General features: G+C 38.3%; 1 protein-coding gene across 5 annotated transcripts in view, besides 1 other annotated feature; it reads right to left on the bottom strand.

The window, feature by feature from the left end:
• The window catches only part of PLCL2 (phospholipase C like 2), a 205,652-nt gene that overhangs the window by 85,335 nt on the left and 97,824 nt on the right, over nucleotides 1-22,493 (bottom strand). The gene's annotated exons all lie outside the window — the stretch shown is intronic.
• Nucleotides 4,856-5,381: an enhancer, noted in NCBI's record as "OCT4-NANOG hESC enhancer chr3:17041383-17041908 (GRCh37/hg19 assembly coordinates)". NCBI's record gives its function as "activates a minimal SCP1, AML or CMV promoter by ChIP-STARR-seq in naive H9 embryonic stem cells {active_cell/tissue: H9 hESC(naive)}" and the evidence as "EXISTENCE:reporter gene assay evidence [ECO:0000049][PMID:30033119]".

Here is a 22,493-nt window from a genome sequence, read left to right as displayed (position 1 = left end):
AGTTGTGGAGCTGCAGTCTTGTCTAAGGGCACACAGATAGTTAATGCCCTGCTGGAAGAAAATTACCTCCTGTTTCCTATTCCATTTGAAAGACTTGAAAGACTTCCACTTGAAAGACTCCTGTCTTTCAAGCCTCATTTGTTCCCATTTTCTGTTTGATTATTCCTCAAAAAACATCATGAGAAAATGATGTTTCAATATCCAGATTCAATACCCTGGCAAAACAGTCACCAAGTCTAAGCAGTCATTCTGGTGTGGGGCTAGGGTGTGGGCATGGGGTGGCTCAGAATGGGGAGAGGGTGTAGTATGAAAACAAAGCAGCCATTTATCTCTCTGGTTTGCTTGAATCAAGTTATTTAATCTGAAATATAAATAACATTAAAGAAAGGTAGGGGATCACCATGTTTATCAAGGGGGATTTAGAATTAGAGTTGAGAAACTGGGGGTTAGAAAAATTTCTCTTTTACACAACAATACAAAACTAAACAAAAAAACCCAAGAAAGAACTTGAAGTCCATTAAATGAGCACAGCAAGGCCTGACCTTTCTTCAGCTCAATAACAATAACTCTGAATTGAAAGAATAAGTCATGCCAGGCACATAAGGGCTACCCTGCAAAGTTTTTCACACATCTTTAAAACTTTGATGTGCTCTTTAAGATGAGAAAAAAGAAGAAAAGGGGGAATTTGGAGCAAGACAGTCACTCTGAAGGTCATTTTATAAAATAAAATGAAATGAAAAAGAATAAAATAATATAAAGGAAAGCTAGGTACAGTTAAATGCTGCTTCTTGCTCATGTGGAAAGGCCCTTTATTGCAAGTAACAGAAACTCCTTGGCCTGTGGATGCCTCTCCTCCATGGGCGCTCCTCTTCTGTCATGTCCTCTACAGTATTCTGTATTCCAAAAGCTCACCCCTGCCCTAGCTTTGCAGAGTCTATGAGGGCTCAGATCTTAGGAGCCTATGGGTGACTTAAAAAGTCATGAAGTGGGGGCAAGTAAAGTTTAGATGGCGGTTTACAACACAGAAAGCCAAAACAGAATATCACTTCTACCCTAACAAGAAAAAGCCCAATAATCTATAAAATCATAACTGTTCTTGTATGCATCAGAGAGCCACGGTCACACAGAAACCAAGGGAACGGAATTTCAAAGAGTGACACGCCCCTCCAAGGAGAAATAGGACACAAGAAACTGTTCTGGGTTTGGTAGAGCGTGGGAAGAAGATGTGGCCACCATGGAAGCAGGTAAGAGGAAATCAGATAAAATTTTAAGGAATTCTTAAAAGCCAAGTGTGACCCAGTGTATCCATCTAGGGTAACCGGGAGTGCCAGACACAGGAAGAGTTTGCACTCATTTGTAAATCTTCTCCATGGGTGCTCCTGAGAAAAACTGGGGGTAGAACAGGGCCACTGGGAAAAGGGTAGAAGCAGAACCCATCCACCTCTGGAACCAGGCAAAGATCCATTGCCCCAGGGGGTAGCAGAACCTCTTGTAATCAGGAGCTTGCATCAACAAAAGCACAGCTCTGCTATGACCAGTAGAGTGGCAGAAAACTATCACCTGCCCAAATTCTAAACAGATACAGGCAGAGTTTGGCTGCCACAGGGAGCAGGGCAGGTTAGGACAGGTGAGAAGGCCCATTCCTGAGGCCCAGGTGCATAGGGCTGCCTAAGACTGAAACTGGATCAGCAGGACCAAAACTTCTCCCTGACCCTACCAGAAGCCTAGCACCAAAATGCAAGCAGTCTACCATTACAGGAGGGACAAGAACATGGGAAGAGACCCCTTTCTGACACAGGCATTCACAGGTGAGAGCTGAGGGCAGAGCAGGAACTCTGAGTAAACCCTCTAGTATGCTACCTGCTTCCTTCACACAAAACACAAGGTAACAGTAGCCCACCAGTGGAGAAATTTGAAGCCAGTGGTACATTGAAGGTAACAATGGCAACACAAATCCCAAACCTGGCTCAATTACTGACTCAATCTTCCCAACACTAATGACCTGGAAGAAGAGATATGCCCATTTCTGAGCACATCATTTACTTCAGTCTCTATTAACCATGATTTTTGTATCCAATAAAAATTGCAGGTCATACCAAAAAAGTAAAAAGAAAAACAAAACAAAAACAACAAAAAAACATTGTCAAGAGATAAAGCAATCAACAGAGCCAGACTCTAGAAGTGACTCAGAAGATGCTGAAACTATTAAATGGGAAGATTAAAACAACTATGATTAATATGTTAAAAGATCTAGTGGAAAAAGTGGACAATATGCATGATCAGATGGTATATTTCCACAGAAAGATGGGAATTATAAAATATGGTCCAAAGGAAATACTGTTAAAAAAAAAACCCACATCAGAGATGATGAATTCCTTGATAGGGTAATAAGCAGACTAAATACAGTCAAGAAAAGAATCTGTAAACTTGCAGATAGGTCAATAGAAATTATCCAAATGAAAATACAAGGAAACAGAAGAGTATATACATATTTTTTTTAGAAAAACAAAACAGAGCATCTAAGAGCTGTTATCTAACATACGTGAAAACAAAGTCCCTGTAGGAAAAACAGGAGAGATAATAGGGCAACAAAATATTTGAAGAGATAATGTCCTAGAATTTTCCAAGTTAAGCAGCTCAAGAATAAGAAGCTCAAGCAGGATCAAACACACACACACACCTGGATATGTCATAGTTACACTGCTGAAAACCAATTAAAGAGAAAGCTTTGAGGCAGCCAAAGAAAAAAGAAAGTCACATACAGAAAAAGATCAATAAGAATTCTAGTTCAGATGATGGGGAAAAATTCAAAGTCTTTCCTCTAAGATCTGGAACAGGACAAGGATGTCCATTTTTTACCACTTTTATTCAACATAGTATTTGTAGTCCTAGCCAGAGTAATTAGGCAACAGAAAGAGAGAAAGGGGATCCAAATTGGAAAGAAATAAGTCAAACTGTCCTTGTTTGTAGATGACATGATCTTATATTTAAAAAAATCTAAAGACTCCATCAACAAACTCTTAGAACTGATAAACAAATTCAGCAAAGTTGCAAGATAAAAAATTAGTATCTTTACTAATAGTATCATTACTGTATGTCAACAGTGAAATCAAAATTAGTATCATTACTATATGCCAATAGTGAAATCAAGAAAGCAATCACATTTATGATAGTTATAAAAATAAATAGGAATAAATGTAACCAAAGAAGTGAAATATCTCTACAATGAAAATGATAGAGCACTAATGAAACTGAAGAAGATACACCAAAACAATGGAAAGCCATCCCGTGTTCATGCATTACAAGAATTAATATTGTTAAGATGTCCATACTACCCAAAATGATCTATCAATTTAATGCAATACTTATCAATGACATTCTGCACAGAAGTAAAAAAAAAAATCCTAACATTCATATGGAACCCCAAAAGACCCCAAATAGCCAAAGCAATACTGAGTAAAAAGAACAAAGCTGGAGGCATCATCATACTACCTGACTACAAAATATACTACAAAGCTATAGTAACCAAAACAGCATGGTACGGGCATCAAAACAGACACATAGACCAATGGAACAGAACAGAGAACCCAGAAATAAATCAATGCATTTACAGCCAACTAATTTTCAACAAAGGCACCAAGAACATACATTAAGGAAAGGACAGTCTCTTCAATAAACAGTGCTAGGAAAACCAGATATCCATATGCAAAGAATAAAACTAGATCCCTATCTCTTACCATATACAAAAATCAAATCAAAATGGATTAAAGACTTAAATGTAAGACCTGAAACTATGAAACTACTAGAAGAAAACACTGGGGAAACAATTCAGCTGGGCAAGATGTTTTTTAGGATAAGATTTCAAAAGCACAAGTCACAAAAACAAAAATAAATAAATGGGATTACATTTGTAAAAACAGCAAAAGAAACAATCAACAGAGTGAAAAGAGAGAGTCTACAGAATGGGAGAAAATATGTGCAAACTGTCCAATGAGGCATTAATAACAGCAGCAAAAAAAAGCAATTAAAAATGGGCAAATTATCTAAATAGACATTTTCAAAAAATACATACAAATGGCCAACAAGTATATGAAAAAACGCTCAGCATCACTAATCATCAGGGAAATGCTTATCAAAACCACAATGAGGATATCATCGCATCCCTGTTAAATTGGCTATTATCAAAAAGAGAAAAAAAAAGCTGGTGTAGATGTGAAGAAAGGTATACTGTTAGTGGAAATGTAAATTAGTATAGCCATTTTGGAAAACAGTATGAAAGTTTCTCAAAAAAGCTAAAAATAGAACTACCATATAATCCAGTAATCCCTCTGCTGGATATATATCCAAAAGAAAGGAAATCAGTGCATTGAAGAAATACCGGCACATCCATGTTTATCACAGTGCTATTCACAATAGCCAAAATATGGACTCAATCTAAGAGTCCATTAATGGATGGATAGGTTTTTAAAATATGGTAAGTATACATAATGGAATATTATTCACCCATAAAAAGAACAAAATACTGTCATTTGCAGCAACATGGATGGAACTGGAGGACATCATTAAATAAATCAGACACAGAAAGACGAATGTCACATGTACTCATAGGTGAGAGCTAAAAAACTTAAACTCATGGAGGTAGAGAGTAGAATGGTGGTTATCAGAGGCTTGGGAAGGGCAGGAAGGAGGGGGAATAAAGAGAAGATGGTTAATGGGTATAAAATGACAGAAGAAATAAGTTCTAGAGTTTGACAGCACAGTAGGTTGACTATAGTCATTAATACTTTATTGTATATTTCAAAAGAGGAGATTTGGAATATTCTCAACACAAAGAAATTATAAATGTTTGACATGACTGATGTCCTAATTACCCTGATTTGATCATTTTACATTGTATGCATGTATCAAAATATCACATGTACTCCCACAAATATATATAATAATAATGTATCAATTGAAAAAAATACAAGATAATTCTAGTTCAGATGGATTACAGGTGATCCACTTATATCTACAAGTTGTTTACTTGGCCACCAGCCTGCAAATGTACTACATATAATGGACAGTTTTATGGGAAAAGTTATTCTCTTTTAAAGGACTGTAGTCCCTAAATTCACCTGTGCTTTCAAAGACAAAGGCATCTCTAACTTAGATGTTAGTCTTTGAAAGGTCACAGGGGAGTTTCAGAGGCTCTACAAGACTGTGATTAGATTCTCAAAGGGATCTGCAAACTCACCTCCCTTCCTCTAAGAAGTTTAGAATCATGGCCTTATTAACATAAACTTTAGAAGACAAAGAGGAAGATTATCACTTCCTAAGAGAAAATGTCAACCTTAAATGCCAGAGTAAAGGCAGAGAATAAATGTTTTACAGAGTTGTGAAGGAAATTTTAAGGCTATCCAAAAGAGAAATGACAATCTGGGAAACAGGGAAGAAATGAAAACTACATAATTTATAGATATAAGTAACACAATTTTATTAATAAAAACAGCAAAATCAAGCACACAAAAAACTTTTATTGATAGCTGTGAAATGGTTTTCTTTATACCAGAGTAGAACAAAATAATTCAATAGTTTATCAACTTTCTAGTTTAGGAATCACCCACAGAAATACTATGCGCCACAAGATGTGAGCTAGCACTGCATGTCCTCTGTGCCTCGGTTTCCTCACCTGTAAAATAGCCATCAAAATAATACCTATTCCCCAAATGTTATTTATGGTACCTACCTCACAGGGTTGTTACAATGATAAGATGAGTTCATATTTGAAAACTGCTCTAAACACTGCCTGGAATTTGGTACACTGTACATTAGATCCTGTTCAATAAATACATTTCAGTCTGAAATTATTTCTTCATGGAAGAATAACAAAGACAAATACCATCATAAATGTGTCACTGCAATACTCTAAACACTTAGGATTTGTTGAAAGATAATCCTATCACAGAAGAAACAGAATGAACGTCACCCTCTCTGAGTCTTGTTTAACTGATGCACAACCAAACGTATGTGATGCCCAAGATATACTAGGAAACTGTCAAAGATAGCCAGCTGCCCTCTCAAAAAGCTTCAGAAGGCTGCATCCCCACACCCATAGGGAAAAAAAACCATTTCTCAAAGTCTTGTGTTAATTTTAAAGCCCATCAATTTAATTAAAATGATCATTTAAGTCTTGTATAAGTATTCACATAAGAGTACAAATTTGAAGCAATGATCCCCATAATCTCCAGAATATTTTTATCTAAAAAATGATCAAATGACCTCACTCAAAGCACTTTGTGACTGGAATTATTCAGATGATTCCATTTCACACTCTCCTGTTATTTGCAATGTGGATAAACCTACAGCACCCAAAACAGCTACATGTGAAGAAAACAAATTTCCAATTTCTGTAACAGGAAGCTTTCAAAGTCAGGTTAAAGGTTCCAAATAATTCAAATATGTAATGGGTTACATCTGCCTTTAAAACAAGGGTATCTCTAATTGTGAAATCATAGGACCATAATGACATACAATACTGCTTTCACAACAACACTCTTTTGGCAAAGCATTTTCACTACTACCAAAATGTTTCCTGAAAGTAAATATATAAAGCCACAGTCTACATCTGTGTCCAGTGCAAACTGCAATAAAATTCACAGTTTTCTCCAGTAGTGAAAAACTTAACGGTAAGCACCGAGCTCCTATAAATTACACTAGTGATCCTTTAGATTCTAGTGAAAATAATGATGTTAATACATTTTAATTTATGATCTATTATAATGGTACTTAAGTGGCTGGCAAAATTTGGTGTGAAAACTGTGTTTCTCAACTGTGGATATGTAGTTTCATATTCAGCACATTACAGAGCCTGCTGACTTCCTATACTACAGAGCTATTTAAAGATGTAGTTATATAACTTTAATTGGTAATAACTGTCTAGTAAATTGCATTGAATTTTAAAAGGTATGCAAGTTGAATCACATAATGCGAAAAATATGATCAATTCTAAGAGTAACTTCTCAATCATTAATTTTCTTTCCCCTACACTGTGCTGGTTCTTCACTATTTCAGGATAACTTTGAAAAAAAAATTATTTTCCTCATTTTTTAATCTTTAACTCTGGCACTGCTTGGGGTTGAGGGAAAAAATGCAATCCAGGGGTTGATGCAGGAGTGAGAAGGAAAGTTTCTTAGAGATCCATCAGCATGCAGGGGCAAAGCTATTGCCCTGGGACACATCACATCCACCAGAGCAAACAAAGAATAGTAACTCTTCAAGTCAGAAATTTTAATAATTCCATAATTATTTTAAAATTAAGGAGAATTGCCCCACTGACAATTTATTATGTGATCACTTTGTTTATTATTTCCTATCTTGTCTTGTAGGAAAATAACTTCTTCCTGGGGCCTTTTTTAACCAAATGGTTTATCTGCATATGAAATTAATGTGTGTGGCTGGACACAGTGGCTCATGCCTGTAATCCCAGCACTTTGGGAGGCCGAGGCAGGTGGATCATGAGGTCAGGAGATCAAGACCATCCTGGCTAATACTGTGAAACCCCATCTCTACTAAAAATACAAAAAATTAGCCAGGTCTGGTGGCAGGCGCCTGTAATCCCAGCTACTTGGGAGGCTGAGGCAGGGGAATTGCTTGAACCCCGGAGGTGGAGGTTGCAGTGAGCTGAGATTGCGCCACTGCATCACTGCACTCCAGCCTGGACAACAGAGTGAGACTCCATCTCAAAAAAAAAAAAAAAAGAAAAGAAATTAATGTGTATGTGGAGGGGGACAATTAGATTGGAAAAATAAGAAAAGAAACTAAATAATGAATTACATAAAAGGGAAACTCAGCTTTCTACAAAACACTCATAAGTTCCAAACCATTCATGAGCCACCCTAGTTCAGCCCTCAGTGTTCTCTCTTCTCTAAACTCTTACGGTATTTATAGTGTCTACCCTGTAATTTAGCATAATTAATTACAGTCTTATTCAGTTATCTAATTGTTTTATGTGGGTCAGTCTTATCTCCTCAAGTAGAAGGTAAACTTTTAAAGGGAATGGGCCTTATCTTCTATAGCCTCTGGCCGGACCAATTTTGATAGTCAGAATAGAAAATCTTTTCAATGAACTGGTCATCTTAATAAAGCCAATGATGGCCTTGGAACTAAAAGAAAGACAAAATAAGCTAATTCTTTAACTTATCAAAATAACTGTTTATGTAAGGTATATGTGTTTTTAAAAGAAGCATAAGTCATTTTTTTGTTTCTTCAATTGAGGGGTGACAGATCATATAACTTTTATATCAAGCATCTTCAAAAGAATTTTTCGAAACATCTCAGTACAAGAGGTCTTTTGGATGTAAAATAGTATGAAGACAAAGTTGATAGTACAAGGACAGATAGGTAAATAATTAAATTTTAAGATTTTTCAACTTTGGCTGTTTTATCTATAATATTTATTTAAAAATCAAATAATTACAATTCTATAGCAATACCAGTCAATGTTCAAATGAGTATTTCTGTAACAAAATGTTCACTGCCTACCAAACGGCCACATGGAGATAAATCTGTTAACAAAACTTTTTTTTTTTTGATAACAGCATCCTCTGTGTTCTGACTTATAAATTGGGTCTCTACCATATCTCTTTTTCAGCTCTTTCCTCAAATTCCTGTAAAACCAAATTCACCCTGGCTTCCTGACCAGCTTCCTTATGTCACTGGCCCATTTCCCTTATGGTCCCACTGTCTGAATCTTCTGGCCTAGGAATTTGGAATCATATATAGCTCAAATTTATTAATTACACAGTTACTATGTATTCAACAATCCTATAACACGAGTATTATCAAGATCTTCAGTTCCAGAGAGATAAGGTAACTTGCCTACAGGTGTCCAGCTGGAGGCTGGAAGGGAAGAGGGTGGTCTACTCTCTTCCTTCCTGGGTAGGAAGGCCCTGAGTCCAGGGCAGGATGTGGTGTCAGTCTCGCCTACGGGAAGGCCTAAGTCTCCTGATGCCCTGAGTCGCAGCCCACTCCTCTCACTATAACCATTCCTGCAACAATGGCTACTTCTGCCAGTTCTTGAGTGCTCTCCATGTGCTAAGCCTGGGACTCAGTGTTTTGCTTCTTTCTATTCCTCAAAACAACTCAGTAGGTGTGCTCACCTAATTGTTCCAGGTTAGATTGCAGCTTCCCAGAGTAGGATATCTATGTTCCTCAGCCACTTCTGGGGCCAGTGCTGATTTCCCTGCCCATATTATTCTCTGTCCTAACCTTTCATCTCCAAATGTGGCCCCATCCTAGAGGTCTGGCTGAAACCCTAGGCCTTCGGTGAAAGGGTTTACTTTACTTGAGTGTGGCTAACCTCTCTTCTCTTAAATCCTTTTGTGCTTAAAGTCAGTACCATAGAGACAACACATGTTTGTAAAATCTGTAAACCTTCCCAACCAGAGTATACACTTTTAAGAAGCAGAATTCAGGCTGAAAAAATTTATTTTTGGCTTATTGAATCCTCCACGGAGCCTACGGCCACATTACACATAGAGTTGTCTAATACATCACAAAAAAGAGCAGATTATACTTGTCAATGGAAAAAAAATAAGCCCAATTTTAGTAATGTAATCCAAAGTCTACAGCTAAAGTGCTAAAATCAAAATGGTTTAAAATACAAAACTTCAAATATTAGATTTTAATATATTATGTGGAGAAGAGAAAGCCAATCAGAGTGAACAACAATTACATGGATTTGGGGTAGTAAAGAGACTGCAATGTTGGAAGAAGCTCACAAGCCTGGGGGAAGGATCAGAAAAAAGCTAGCCTGCCTCTGTTGTGAGGGGAGCCAGCACCTCCTTAGAGAAGGCCCTGCGGCCTGAGAGTGCACGTTCCTGGGCTGCAGACAGAACAAATACAAATTTGTACAAAACTGATAATCATCTGCATTTCCCCTTTGTGTGCAAATACAACTCACCACCTGTTTTAAAAGGTCAACAAACGGAAGAAGTCTCTTTTGTTTTACCACACTAAGAATCACCAGCTTATACATGTAGGCATTTATTTTGTTTCTGCCTTAACACCCTAAATAAACTACACTAAAGGACATATGATGTTTAAATAGCCTCTGGCTGGAAAAATTCATGCAGGGGATCAAGTTCCCAAGAACTAAGTCCTTGCCCAGCCCTTGGCTGGAATTTCCTTCTGATGGGCATGGATCTTGTGGGGAGGACAATGTGACCACCTGCTTAGCTGTGCAGGATCCTGCTGTTGCTTGGCTTCCAAGAAGGGGAGCCCTGCAGGCACTGGCCTGTGCTCACCACACACCTTTGGACACTCTAATTCAGATTCTCCAATCTCAGCTCTTGCCTCTTCCATACTCTGGCCTTCTCACCTATCTCATCACGATGCCTGTATAGCCCACAAATGGGGAAGAGATGCAAATGGGGATTATTTGCTGGATGTAATAACGGAGCTGTGGTGAGCACTGTGGAGAGCAGGTAGTGGTTCCTTTCACAAAGGGAACACGGTGGTAGAAGGGGGATGTCAGAAGCTAAATATCAAGTCTCTTGAGCCCCCGAATGAATGAATGAATGAACTCAAAGAGCACCACTTGTAGGATCACCATTTCAAACACCAAGTAGAAATCTATATATTTTAAAAACAGTTTTAAAATAATTACAATTATCTCAAAATGTTATAATATGCATTGCTGTAAATCCACTTTGCAAAATTAATGAGTAATTTAAAAATTCCAGCAAATCTCAAATCCACTGCTTTTCTACTTAGAGGTGTTATATGCAAATGAAAGATTTCCTAACACAAACATCTGCTGAAGTGGCACAGACATGCTCACAGTCTTTGTATCTACTTGGCAGAGAGCAACAATATACATCCACTTTATGTCATACCCATAGTAAGCTCCATTTTTTTTTAATTAAAAGCCATGCTTGGGTTAAGAAATCAATAAAAACGTCAATATCTGCATGGCCCGAATCCAGAAGACTCAAGTGATTAATCTAAAGCATTTGCAAAATAGAGTAATGTGAATTTGGACTGCAGAAGGTCCAGTTCTGCCATTTTCCTGAATCACTGTATACCTTTCTAAAACCATAAGTCCCTTCCAAATTAATTAGCTTATCAAACTAAAATAAAAAGCAGTTTTAAAAACCAGCAAAATCTCATCATTAATGTATTTTAAGTGGCATATGCTGCCAGTGACTAAAGCAATTTAACTGCTTCAATGAATCTTGTGTCACCATTACCAGGCCTCACTGCTGTTAAGTCCCATCTACTGAGAGAAAATTACCAGGGGTAAATGTACAATTAATTTCACACAGGCACCAAATTCATTCTAAATACAGCTTCCTGAACCTAGCTCATGTTTTAAATAATATGCCACAGAACATATGATTAAGAGGGTCTCTATACCATTTTATATAGACTATAAAACCAAGAAGCTCAGGCAATCCTACAAAGTACACACTGCGTAGTAGTTTTGAGAGTTGGAACTGGAAGGGCCTTGCATTAATATGGATGCTGATGTGAGAATAAAATATAGGCATTTATAAGTCATGCTTAGATTTTACATAAAAGTATTATAATGCAAGCTTAAAATGCCACATCTAATTATACTGTATTTTATTTCATTAAAGTTATCCAGAAATAAAAACATGGACAAATTCTACCTGCAAGCTAATTACCAAATCCCCTTATTAAAAAGCAGGATGCTATCCTTATTCCAAGAGTCAGGCTGCCATACCAATTACCAATTCTAACAAGGCTTTAATTCCAGAGTTTTGAAGCTGACCCTTCAGTCCATTACGCAACTCTATACTGACTCACTAAAGTTCAAGCTACTTAGAGAGGAGACCTTTGGAGAGAGAGCACTGGGAATGAAATGGTGTCCCAACAGAAGGTTCTGACAGGAGGGAACACATGAGGTCCCCAGCACCTGCAAACCACAGGAATGGCTGGAACCACCAGCAACTGGTGAACTATATTACCCAAGGTAGAATGACATCTAAAGTGGGACAGTTAAAAAGAGTGAATGTGGGTATCAATAAACATGCCACATCAACAGGGACTGCCCTGGGCAAACTGAAACATATGATCATCCTACCTGAAAGTGACCTTATTAATAATGTGTTAAGTTCTAAGTCCCAGGCACTGGAAATGCAGGTACAATCAAAGTATAATCTCAGCTACAGGGGTATTCTCATCCTGACTGGCAGTCAGGCAGGTTGCCAGTTCTAGTCTGTCTGGACACTTTCAACTCGTAGGCTTCACCAAAGGTCTCCTCACCTTTCAACCTGTAGGCTTCACCTTGTCCAGTCTGGGAGTCCATGCTACCCAGGCCAGGAACCCACTTCTACCTGCTTGTGAAGTCTGGCTTAGTCTTGCTGCCTTGAACCCAGGAGATGAACAGCCATGTGTATCTTTGGGCATGGTGGCTGAATCCTTATGACTGCTTTTTGTTTATTTCCTGAGGCTGGCTACAGTTCTCCCTACCCTCTGCCCCTTCATGGGCATGGATCCTTAATCCAATCCTTAGCCTGCCTGGCTAGAACTGAGTCCTTGCCCAGCCCTTGGCTGGAATTTCCTTCTGATGGGCATGGATCTTGTGGGGAGGACAATGTGGCCACCTGCTTCGCTATGCAGGATCCTGCTCTTGCTTGGCTACCAGGAAGGGGAGCCCTGCAGGCACTGGCCTGTGCTCACCACACACCTTTGGATGCTGTAATTCAGATTCTCCAATCTCAGCTCTTGCCTCTCCCACACTCTGGCCTTCTCACCTATCTCACCACAATGCCTGTATAGCCCACAAATGGGGAAGAGATGCAAATGGGGGTTATTTGCTGGATGTGATAACGGAGGTGTGGTGAGCACTGTGGAGGGCAGTTAGTGGTTCCCTTCACAAAGGGAACACAGTGGTAGAAGGCGGATGTTAGAAGTTAAATGTGAGTTCTCAGAGCTGAAGAAAGGAGGTGAGGTGCCAGGAAGGGTGAAGGCACTGATGGCTGGGCTGTTCCAGGTGACCTTCTTAAGAGATCACTGGTCAGTTTTTCTGATGATTGAATCAGGGCCATCACCACTCCACCCCGATCACCACCCAATCCCTCTGCCCTGTTCATATGCATGTGTATTGTATCTCTCATTTTAAGTCAAAACACTAATATATTACACACATATGACATCACTACTATCACATGTCACCACTGACAATCTTGGACTCTCTAATATCCCTCCATCATCTGAAAATTCAACTCTTCAAGTTCAGAAATTCTTTGCAGGGCTGCTGAGTTGAGTCTGTGGCTCATGGCACTTAAGAAATGCACCTAAAAATTAGATTATCTTTTAATGTAATTTGAATCATCTCCCCTCCTCCCTCAATCTAAATATGATGGTAAAATTCACTTGGGTTTACTGAAAATTATAATGGCAACACAGAAATCACATTTTGTCCTCTGGAAAGAACTGGAGTTTTAGCTAAACCATGTTTTATTCCAATTATAAATTTATTTTTTAAGTAATTTAGTTGTACTTTTGAAAGCATTACTTTGAAAGCATTAATTTAATAAGACTAAAACTTGAAAACACAGGCTATAAAAAATAAGATACAACCAGGAATACGGGAAAACCAACCCTCTCCATGGCCTGTATCCATTCTCCAGGGGCAGTCTCATCTTGTGACCCACTACCCCATACTTCCAGACAAAACTGGAAGGTTCCTTGAGTTAGAAGATATAATGGATTTTCTTTATCAATTAATTTTTCTTTAAGAATTAAAAAGAACATTTCAAAAAGAATGAAGAGAATAAAGTATGGAGAATAAAACCCATGATCCAGAAAAATCCACAGTAGCTCACAGCACTCAGAGAGGTGATCAGAATCCTAATAATTCTCACCACCACATACCTCAGCTTTTCAAGCCACATGGTAACTACTGTCTGCCGTTAAATGCAGTTGTGCCCATGGAAAGGAGGTGAGCTAACCTTTACTGAGCTACTATTATGAATCCTCAACTCTGTGAAGCAGGACCTATCATCCCATTTCAGAGGTTAAATAGTACCCAGGCAGGTCAGTTCCTCCTCCTCCTCCCCTGCTCTGTTCGGTAGCCACAGGGCTAGCCCTCATGGAAGACTTCTTCAGATCCCAACTCAGCTGGATGCCCACTGGGTTATGCACATGAGGCTCTGACAGCAGACTGAAGGCTGGGTAAGAAGAAGGGCAAAGCCGGGGAATGGGTGGTTCCCTCCTCCTCTCTCTGCAGGGCAAGGTGAGTGTCTCCAGCAAACGCTGCATCCCCTCTGAGTTCCCAAAGCCCCATCACCTGCTCCCTGTCTCTCTATCCTGTGGGTGGGGATAGTTATCTGCTGTTGACAACCTTTGGGTGGCATCACCAATCTCAATCTCATTTGGCCTCCTGGTTCTTCCACTACCTGTAATAATTCCTTATATTAAATTATCTCTATTTTAAATGTTCTTTTTCCAGTTGGACCCCGAGTGACTCAATGCTCAAACTGTGCAGCCTTGGGAAGTCAATAAACCTCTCCAAACCTCAGCTGCTATTTTATAAAATGAAGAAAATAACTACTTGTTCTTAATTACTTTAAAGGGTTTGATAAGGCACAAAGGAGATAATAAATATGAAAGCGCTGTAGAGGCTGACCTAACTAAGATTTTTACATTACAAGTCCTCGAGTCTTACTTACTGGAATTACTGGAAAGGCAAAAAGGAGTTCACTGAAATTAACTTCCAAGTTAATCTCTTGGACCTAAATAGTAAAAACTACACAAAGCTGCCTTTTAAGAGCTCATTGCAAGCTTACAAACACTTTGGTCTCTCATAAAAGGAAAGTTGGTTGGCTGATGCCTCTAATGCTTCCGCAGGGCCTCTGACCACCAATGCAGAAGGGAGTTAAAATGCATGAACTCAGGCAGCCCTTTATAGAGTACCTAAGTGAAAAAGACTGGGTGTCAGGCTCTGGTCTGTCTTCTGCACCAGCCCTTCCTGTGTAGCTAACCCTAAAACAGGGACTACAATAATAGTACTGTATCCTAGGGTTGTTGTTATTAAACAAGATAAGGTAGAAATGCCCACTAAAGATTCTGATGCTCCCAATAAATGTCAAGTATAATTAATGTGGTTGACATTACTACTGCTATCATCATCACCATCATCGTCATCGTCATCCTCATCATTCTCTCCTATATAATGCATTTTGTGAGGATTTGATCAGAGCTATCTCCTCTGCCTATATCATTCCCAGTTGAGTGACAATCTCAGATACGCTTCCTTGACATCTTTACATGCTTCAGGCAATCATTATTAGATGAGAATGGCCATCCTTTCCCCTCTTTCCTTTCTTATTATTCCTATCCTGTCTGAGCACCTACAAACCTTGGTTTCAGCATTACTACTATTTTTTATCATACAGTGAAAAAAAAACTACGCTATCTAGCTACATATTTACATAATAATGGGCCAATTAAAGGGCTAACAAGAAATCATTATGCTTCTATTGCTATTGTTTGTGGTTATAAACATTTGTATTTATGGGGTGGACACTTAATTATCTTTGGGTAGATGAATACTTTCCCTTAGTGACAGTATTGGGAGGAAGCAGAGACAATGTCTACATCAATGGTGTCCAAAAATGTATGAGCGCCACATATGTAATTGAAAATTTTCTACTAGTCACATTAACAAATCTAAAAAGAAACAGGTAAAATAAACTTCAATAATTTTATTTAACTCAAAATATCCAAAATACTATCATTTCCACATGTAGTCAATATAAAAGTTATGGAGATACCTGGATTCTTTTCAAGTCTTTGAAATCCACCATATTTTACATTTACAGCACATCTCAATTTGGACTGCGCACATTTTTTAGTGCTCAATAATCAAAGCGGGGCTAGCAGCTAGTGTATCTGACAGTGCAGGTCTAGATGATAAGCTTTTTAAGGGCAAGGACTTGTCATATTTTAATTCCAAATTCACCCTGACTTTTCTAATGTGGTGCTTTGCCCAAAGAAAGCACTCACCAAATATTCATTGAACTCAGAAATGAGTATCTGGAAAGAGGGACTATCATTCATATATGTAAATGAGGCCAATATAAATTTTTTTGGAAGAATAACATTTTGTAGGTCTTACACCTTTAAAAATTACAAATGAACATAATTGCTAAAAATCCCAGTGTTCACTCACCTCAAATCACCCCAAATGCCATAAAGAGAAAGCAATGTTACAACTGTTCTCAAAAAAGTGAGAGAGAGAGAACAAAAACAGCTCTGTTATAGACATCTATTATAGATCTCTATAATAATTGACCAAATAAATCATCAAATACTATTTAAATGACCTCATATGCCTGATAGTATCTAAGAGGCTATAATGTATGCTAGGACACAAATATAACTTGAAATGGAATTAAAAACTAATATTACAACCAGGTTAATTTATGAAAATGATGAATACCTTTTTTTTCCTCCATGTTATGAAAAGCATATTTTGCTTGAAAGTTTAAAGGCTTAATAGATGCAAATTACATTTCACTTTCAGCTACCTAGTTGATACAAATCAGCTTGCTCAGTCAGGATAACCACTTAAAAATAATTTGTAGTTCCTGAAGGCCACAACATTATACCATTTATAGAACTGCAGTACAGACACAGCCAAAAAAAAGATGGTAGCTTCTTTCAACCTGTGGTAATCATAAATGTCAAGTTCCTTTTGACAACCGATGCCACTGTCCACTGAAAAGACTACCCAGACCGCAGCCACCGTCAGCAATGGCTTCATAGAACTCAAGAGGGATTCCATTTCCCTCAAGAAAAGGAAATGGTCAATCTCAACAAAAGTTGTATGAAACTGCAAAATACTTGGTGTATCTTCACTAAGACTGTGAAATGAATTTCTAAGGAAAAGTCAACTAGCACTAAAGGCACTCACATGAAAGGGTGCTTAAAGCGCTCTTTCCTTCACCATGACAGAACTGGTTTCTGTTGGTTCTAAATATACCCCGACCAAATTAAAAGAAAAAGATGTCTTTTGCTTTTAAATGTATCTGGCTCTTGTGTTGAAGCCCCTGTTTACTGGGGAAGGAGGAACTGAGTTATTCAACCAATTCCAATACAGTTGTGCAGAGCGGAGACACTCCACGACCTTTTTACTTTTAGCAAAAAATCTTCATTGGACTACAACTTGGTTTCTTTAGCCTAGTAGAATTTCCATCGGATCCCAGGCTTGACAAATCCATGGTTCTCTGGTTACTAATGAAATACCAATGTTTAGCTTGCTCGTTCATTTATATTTTTACCATCAAAATCCTTACAAAGCACACAGCTAATAGCTTCATTTATTTGGCCAAGAACTGGCATAGTATATTTACTTTTTAAATTATTACATTTACTTTAATTTTCCATCTATTGAAAGTTGTTTGTGCTGTCCTTTACATTTAGTAAAAGACAAATAGTGCTTTTTATAATCTCCATAATGGTAACTTTCAAACATTTAAACTTTGAGAGAAAAGAAGAGAATACGTGAATCAAAATTTATATCACATTACTTTTTAAAATATACTTTTAGGCTTGTGATCAGTTTACTTTTCTCCAAAGGCAGCATTTGTCTCTTTAGTCATTAGAAAACTTACTGGCATATTTTGAATCTTATTTAGTGTCAGTTTTTCATGTATTGTCCAATTCTAAACACAGATCTTTGAACTGCTGGAGAGCCACTTGAGTAGAGCCTGTATTAATAAATGTCACGTATTTTTCAGTAATTCAACAATGTTGTAAAGATGATAAATTTCATACTGCTGACAATCTATCACTGTCTGAAATAGTTTTCTACCTTAACTTGTGACTTTCATTCAGTAAATATTTACTGAAAAGACTGCCACATGCCAGATGTTCCTGGGCTCTGGGGTTACCAAGCAGAACTCAGCCCTGGCCTTCCAAGCACTCACAGTGCAGAGGGGCTGCTGTGCCTGCTCTTCAAACCTCTCCTGCTAGGAAGCGTTTCTGAATTTCAGCAAATGTGGGCCAATAAAGAGCACTGTCATTAACACCTGACAGACCTGGGTCCACGTCTGGCTCTGCCTGCTAGGAGCTGATGACCTCAGGCTACTCAGTTGTCCTCTCTTGGCCTCGATTTCCTCTTCCGTTACACAAGGATAATAATTTATTCTACAAGGTTGCTGTGAAAGTCAAATAAAATAATGAAGGTACAGGAAAAAAAAGTCTGACATTTATGGGGTCTGGCACCCAGACCCCATAAATGTCAGACTTCTTCCTCTAGTTCCTCTTAAAAATACATAGCTTTCTATATCAAATGGCTTCTCTATTTATAAAGCAAAGAGATAGATGAACTGTAAATCATAAACATGTATTAGGTATACCAAATATTTAGAAGCTGTATGTAACAAGGACTCCTGGTACACTTGACGGGCTATCGTCAGCTTGATCCCCATCCTACGTTTCTCTAATAGGTCTCTCTTTTTGGTCAATTGTTAGGTTCTCATTTGCTTTTCCTCCATTAGAGTTTTAAAAGCAGTTCTACCATCCCTAATGCAGGAGCTAAAGAACCCCTAGGGGGCCAGGTGAGATGGCTCATGCCTGTAATCCCAGCACTTTGGGAAGCTGAGGTGGGCAGATCACTTGAGGTCAGGAGTTAGAGACCAGCCTGGCCAACACGGTGAAACCCCATCCCTACTAAAAATACAAAAAATTAGCTGGGTGTGGTGGTGTGCATCTGTAATCCCAGCTACTCAGGAGGCTGAGGCAGGAGAATTGCTTGAACTCAGGCGGTGGGGGTTGCAGTGAGCCGATATCATGCCACTGCATTCCAGCCTGGATGACAGAGTGAGATCTTGTCTTTCAAGAAAGAAAAAAAGAACCTCTAGGGATGCGGCCCTTTCATCTCTGGGGTGGTTCACACTAGAACTGTAGGGTCCGGAAGGAACTAACATAGTGAATAATTATGGTGTGCCAGGCCCAGCACTAGGGGAACCATATGCATTACCTTGTGTGAACCCAACTCCTCTGAGATGTTGATACTATCTTCTACCTTCTACAAAGAAACCCAATACTCAGGGAGGCTAAGAAAGTTGTCCACAACGACAAAGCTATAAGTAGTCCAACATCATTTCTAGTCATTTTTTTTCCTCAGTTGGGTTGATGGCTGGCTGCTTTCCCCCTACAGCTCCTTGTGCCTGTTCATATTGGTTGGACAAGGTGTCTCCCACCCAGACTAGAGTTCCCTATGTCTTGGCTCCACTAGCCACTCCCAATAACATGCCCAAAGCCGCTCAGACTTATGGGCTTCTTATGTCATGGTTCCATTAACTAGCTTTTTATTTTGTTCTCTTCCTCCTGGTATCTCCAAGGGGCTGCCGGGAATATTGAAAACTGTCCCATTTCCCTCAATGTTGATGACCAGTCTGTTTCTTTTGCCTAGCCCTCAGCAGCTGCCACTGGAAACAACTGTGCACTATCCCATGCTTAATTCCCATGTGCTCTTACTAAAGGTGAATATAGTACACCTATGCCTTCTACTAAGAATAAGTTAATATAAAGTGAAAGGTGATCTCCTAGGAACTGCACAGTTTTCACTTCTCTTGGCAGTGCCTGGGCACAGGTAATATAGAGGCAATAACACTATGTCCTCCTCATAGAGTCCCTTTTTGGAGACAAAAGCATTGGGAGTACACAAATTAAGCATAGACAGAGATACAGGCCTCTCAGCTCCCTAAGGAAATAAACTAAAAATGATACCAGATAAGAATAATAAGCTAAAAATTTCCCTCTCTTTTACCCTTTGATGTTTCTATGTGTGCAATATCGAATATCACATTGATCAAGTATACTGTTAACTTCAGAGATAAGACAGCCTATTTTATGTTTTCTATTTTGGCCTTTAGTTTACTTCAATTCAATAAAAAATGATTAAGCGTTGTGGGCCACGTACTATGGAAGTACTAGAAAAGCATGTAGTGGAGATGAAAGATATAAATAATTTCAAGACAATGTAATTAGAAGCTAATATAGAGGTATGCCCAGGGAGCTATAGGCACCCGGAGTGGAGCTACCATTCCCAGCCTTAAAATTCAGAGAATGCTTCCCAGGGCCTCTTGAGCCCTAAAATAACTAAAACATACAGGTCAAGCTACTACATACTTGAACGAAGAGAAGTAAAGAATTCCACAAACAATTCTCTTTGAAAATGATAACAATCCTATGCCCAGAAATCAGGGAATGAAACTTCTTGTGCTTATACTTCATGAAAACAGTTATCTTAGCTTCTTTCAAGTAATCTATTTATTCATGAAATTGTTAGTGTTAGGGATAATAGGGACTTTTTTTTTTAAGACGTAGTCTCGCTCTGTTGCCCAGGCTGGAGTGCAGTGGTGTGATCTTGGCTCACTGCAAGCTCCGCCTTCCAGGTTCACATCATTATCCTGCCTCAGCGTCCCGAGTAGCTGGGACTACAGGTGCCCGCCACCACACCTGGCTAATTTTTTGTATTTTTAGTAGAGACAGGGTTTCACCATGTTAGCCAGGATGGTCTCCATCTCCTGACCTCGTGATCTGCCTGCCTGGGCCTCCCAAAGTGCTGGGATTACAGGCGTGAGCCAGCGCACCTGGCCAGGTCTGATTCTTAAATAACAACCCTTAAGTCATAATCCTTTTTTGCTATTGGTGACATCCTCTTTTTTCTGACTTTCCATGTCAATTATGATTTATCATCAGCTCATTTTCTAATTTACAGAGATTAGAAACCACGCAGATTAATACAAACAGATAAATCCTGAAAAGATCCATATAAAAACAACAAACTCTAACAATTCTGCCCACACTGAAAGTCTTTTAATCAAAGAAACACAGAAATGATTTATTACTTAATAAAACCTTATTTCTCTGAAATTCCAGAAGTTTACAACCAATTATAAGTCTATTAAGCAGAATCAATAAATGAAGTGGAAAGGAAGAACCAGTGAAAATAGCTAGTGGCAAGTTATTCTTATTCTTAGAATTGTTAGAGCCTTATTTCTTCTCTAAAAATATCAGAATTTAAAAAACCAAATTAGCTCTGTTTAGGCTATTCCTCATTTCTACTAAAAATAAGTAACACCACCTGTCAACTGGGGCTATGTTATTTAAGCTTTGCATATTAGTAAAGAAATACCCTCCACGCGTTCATGAACCAAAAGACATAATAACATAGCTTCTGGCAGAACCATAGAATTATCCCATTTCCTGTCTTGAGTGTAAAGAACAATTTACCTAAATGGTTGAAAATAAATATCTTTCATATTTTGATTGTCTTCATAATATACAGTAAAATACAATTTGCTGCTGACCCACTTTGACGTACAAAATCATTACATTTGAAAATGTGACTGCAAAATGCAATGAAAGCATTAGGCATATTCCACATTAATTAACAATCAGAATGTGCTCAAATGATAACTTATAAATGTTTCAGGATACTTTTCTAGATAAAGTAGAAAGGGTCTTTACAGTGAGAATTTCTCTGTCCCTATTAAAGTCTTCTGACTTTAAATTGGTCATTATTAGTATTATAAATTGACTTAGTAGTGGACAATTCTCACCATCTCATTTGGTTAGAGTTAGAGCAGAGTTCTTTTTTTGTTTTTTTGAGACAGAGTTTTCTTCTCGACTCACTGCAACCTCCGCTTCCCGGGTTCAAGTGATTCTCCTGCCTCAGCCTCCTGAGTAGCTGGGATTACAGGTGCCGGCCACCACGCCCAACTAATTTTTTGTATTTTTGGTACAGACGGGGTTTCACCATGTTGGCCAGGCTGGCCTTGAACTCCTGACCTCAGGTGATCCGCCCGCCTCGGCCTCCCAAAGTGTAGGGATTACAAGCATGAGCCACCATGCCCGGCCCAAGTTCAAGCAGAGTTCTAAAGACACTGAAGCTCATATCCCATATGGGTGACTTTATTCCCACAAGAGTCACTTACTCTGCTTTGAACCATGGCCATAAATTATAGACGTTTAAACTTGGTTAGGCATTGTAAATCCAAAGGAAAATGGATTAGTTAGGGACTGCTGAATCATGACAAGTCTAACCCTAAAGAAAACAAAACACATCCTTTAGTAACAACTATGCTTAATATGTGTACAAGGTAATACGCACTAATGAAATTAGCAGTGTGGGAGAAATTAGACCTAGTGGGATTTTTTCTTCAAAATGTTATTTAGTATATACTTTATATCATGTTTAAATTAATATAAAAACTTAAAGACAAAAATATACTATTGCCATGGAAAAACAATTCAAAACAAAAGCCCACTAATGGTAGATAACAGATTAGTATTTACATAAAATACAGAAATGTAGATATGGGTGAGGCCACAGTTATACAGAAATAAAAATATACTCATGAATTAAAGTAAATTTATTTTTGCCATTAAAGAAGGAAGAAGGGATTTAATTTTTAGAAACAACTAAGAATATAGCTTTTTTTTTCCTTTATTTTTCAAATAAGAAA

Source organism: Homo sapiens, chromosome 3 (genome assembly GCF_000001405.40).
Source record: "Homo sapiens chromosome 3, GRCh38.p14 Primary Assembly".
Taxonomy (NCBI): domain Eukaryota; kingdom Metazoa; phylum Chordata; class Mammalia; order Primates; family Hominidae; genus Homo; species Homo sapiens.
This window is presented reverse-complemented; position numbering and strand designations above follow the sequence as displayed.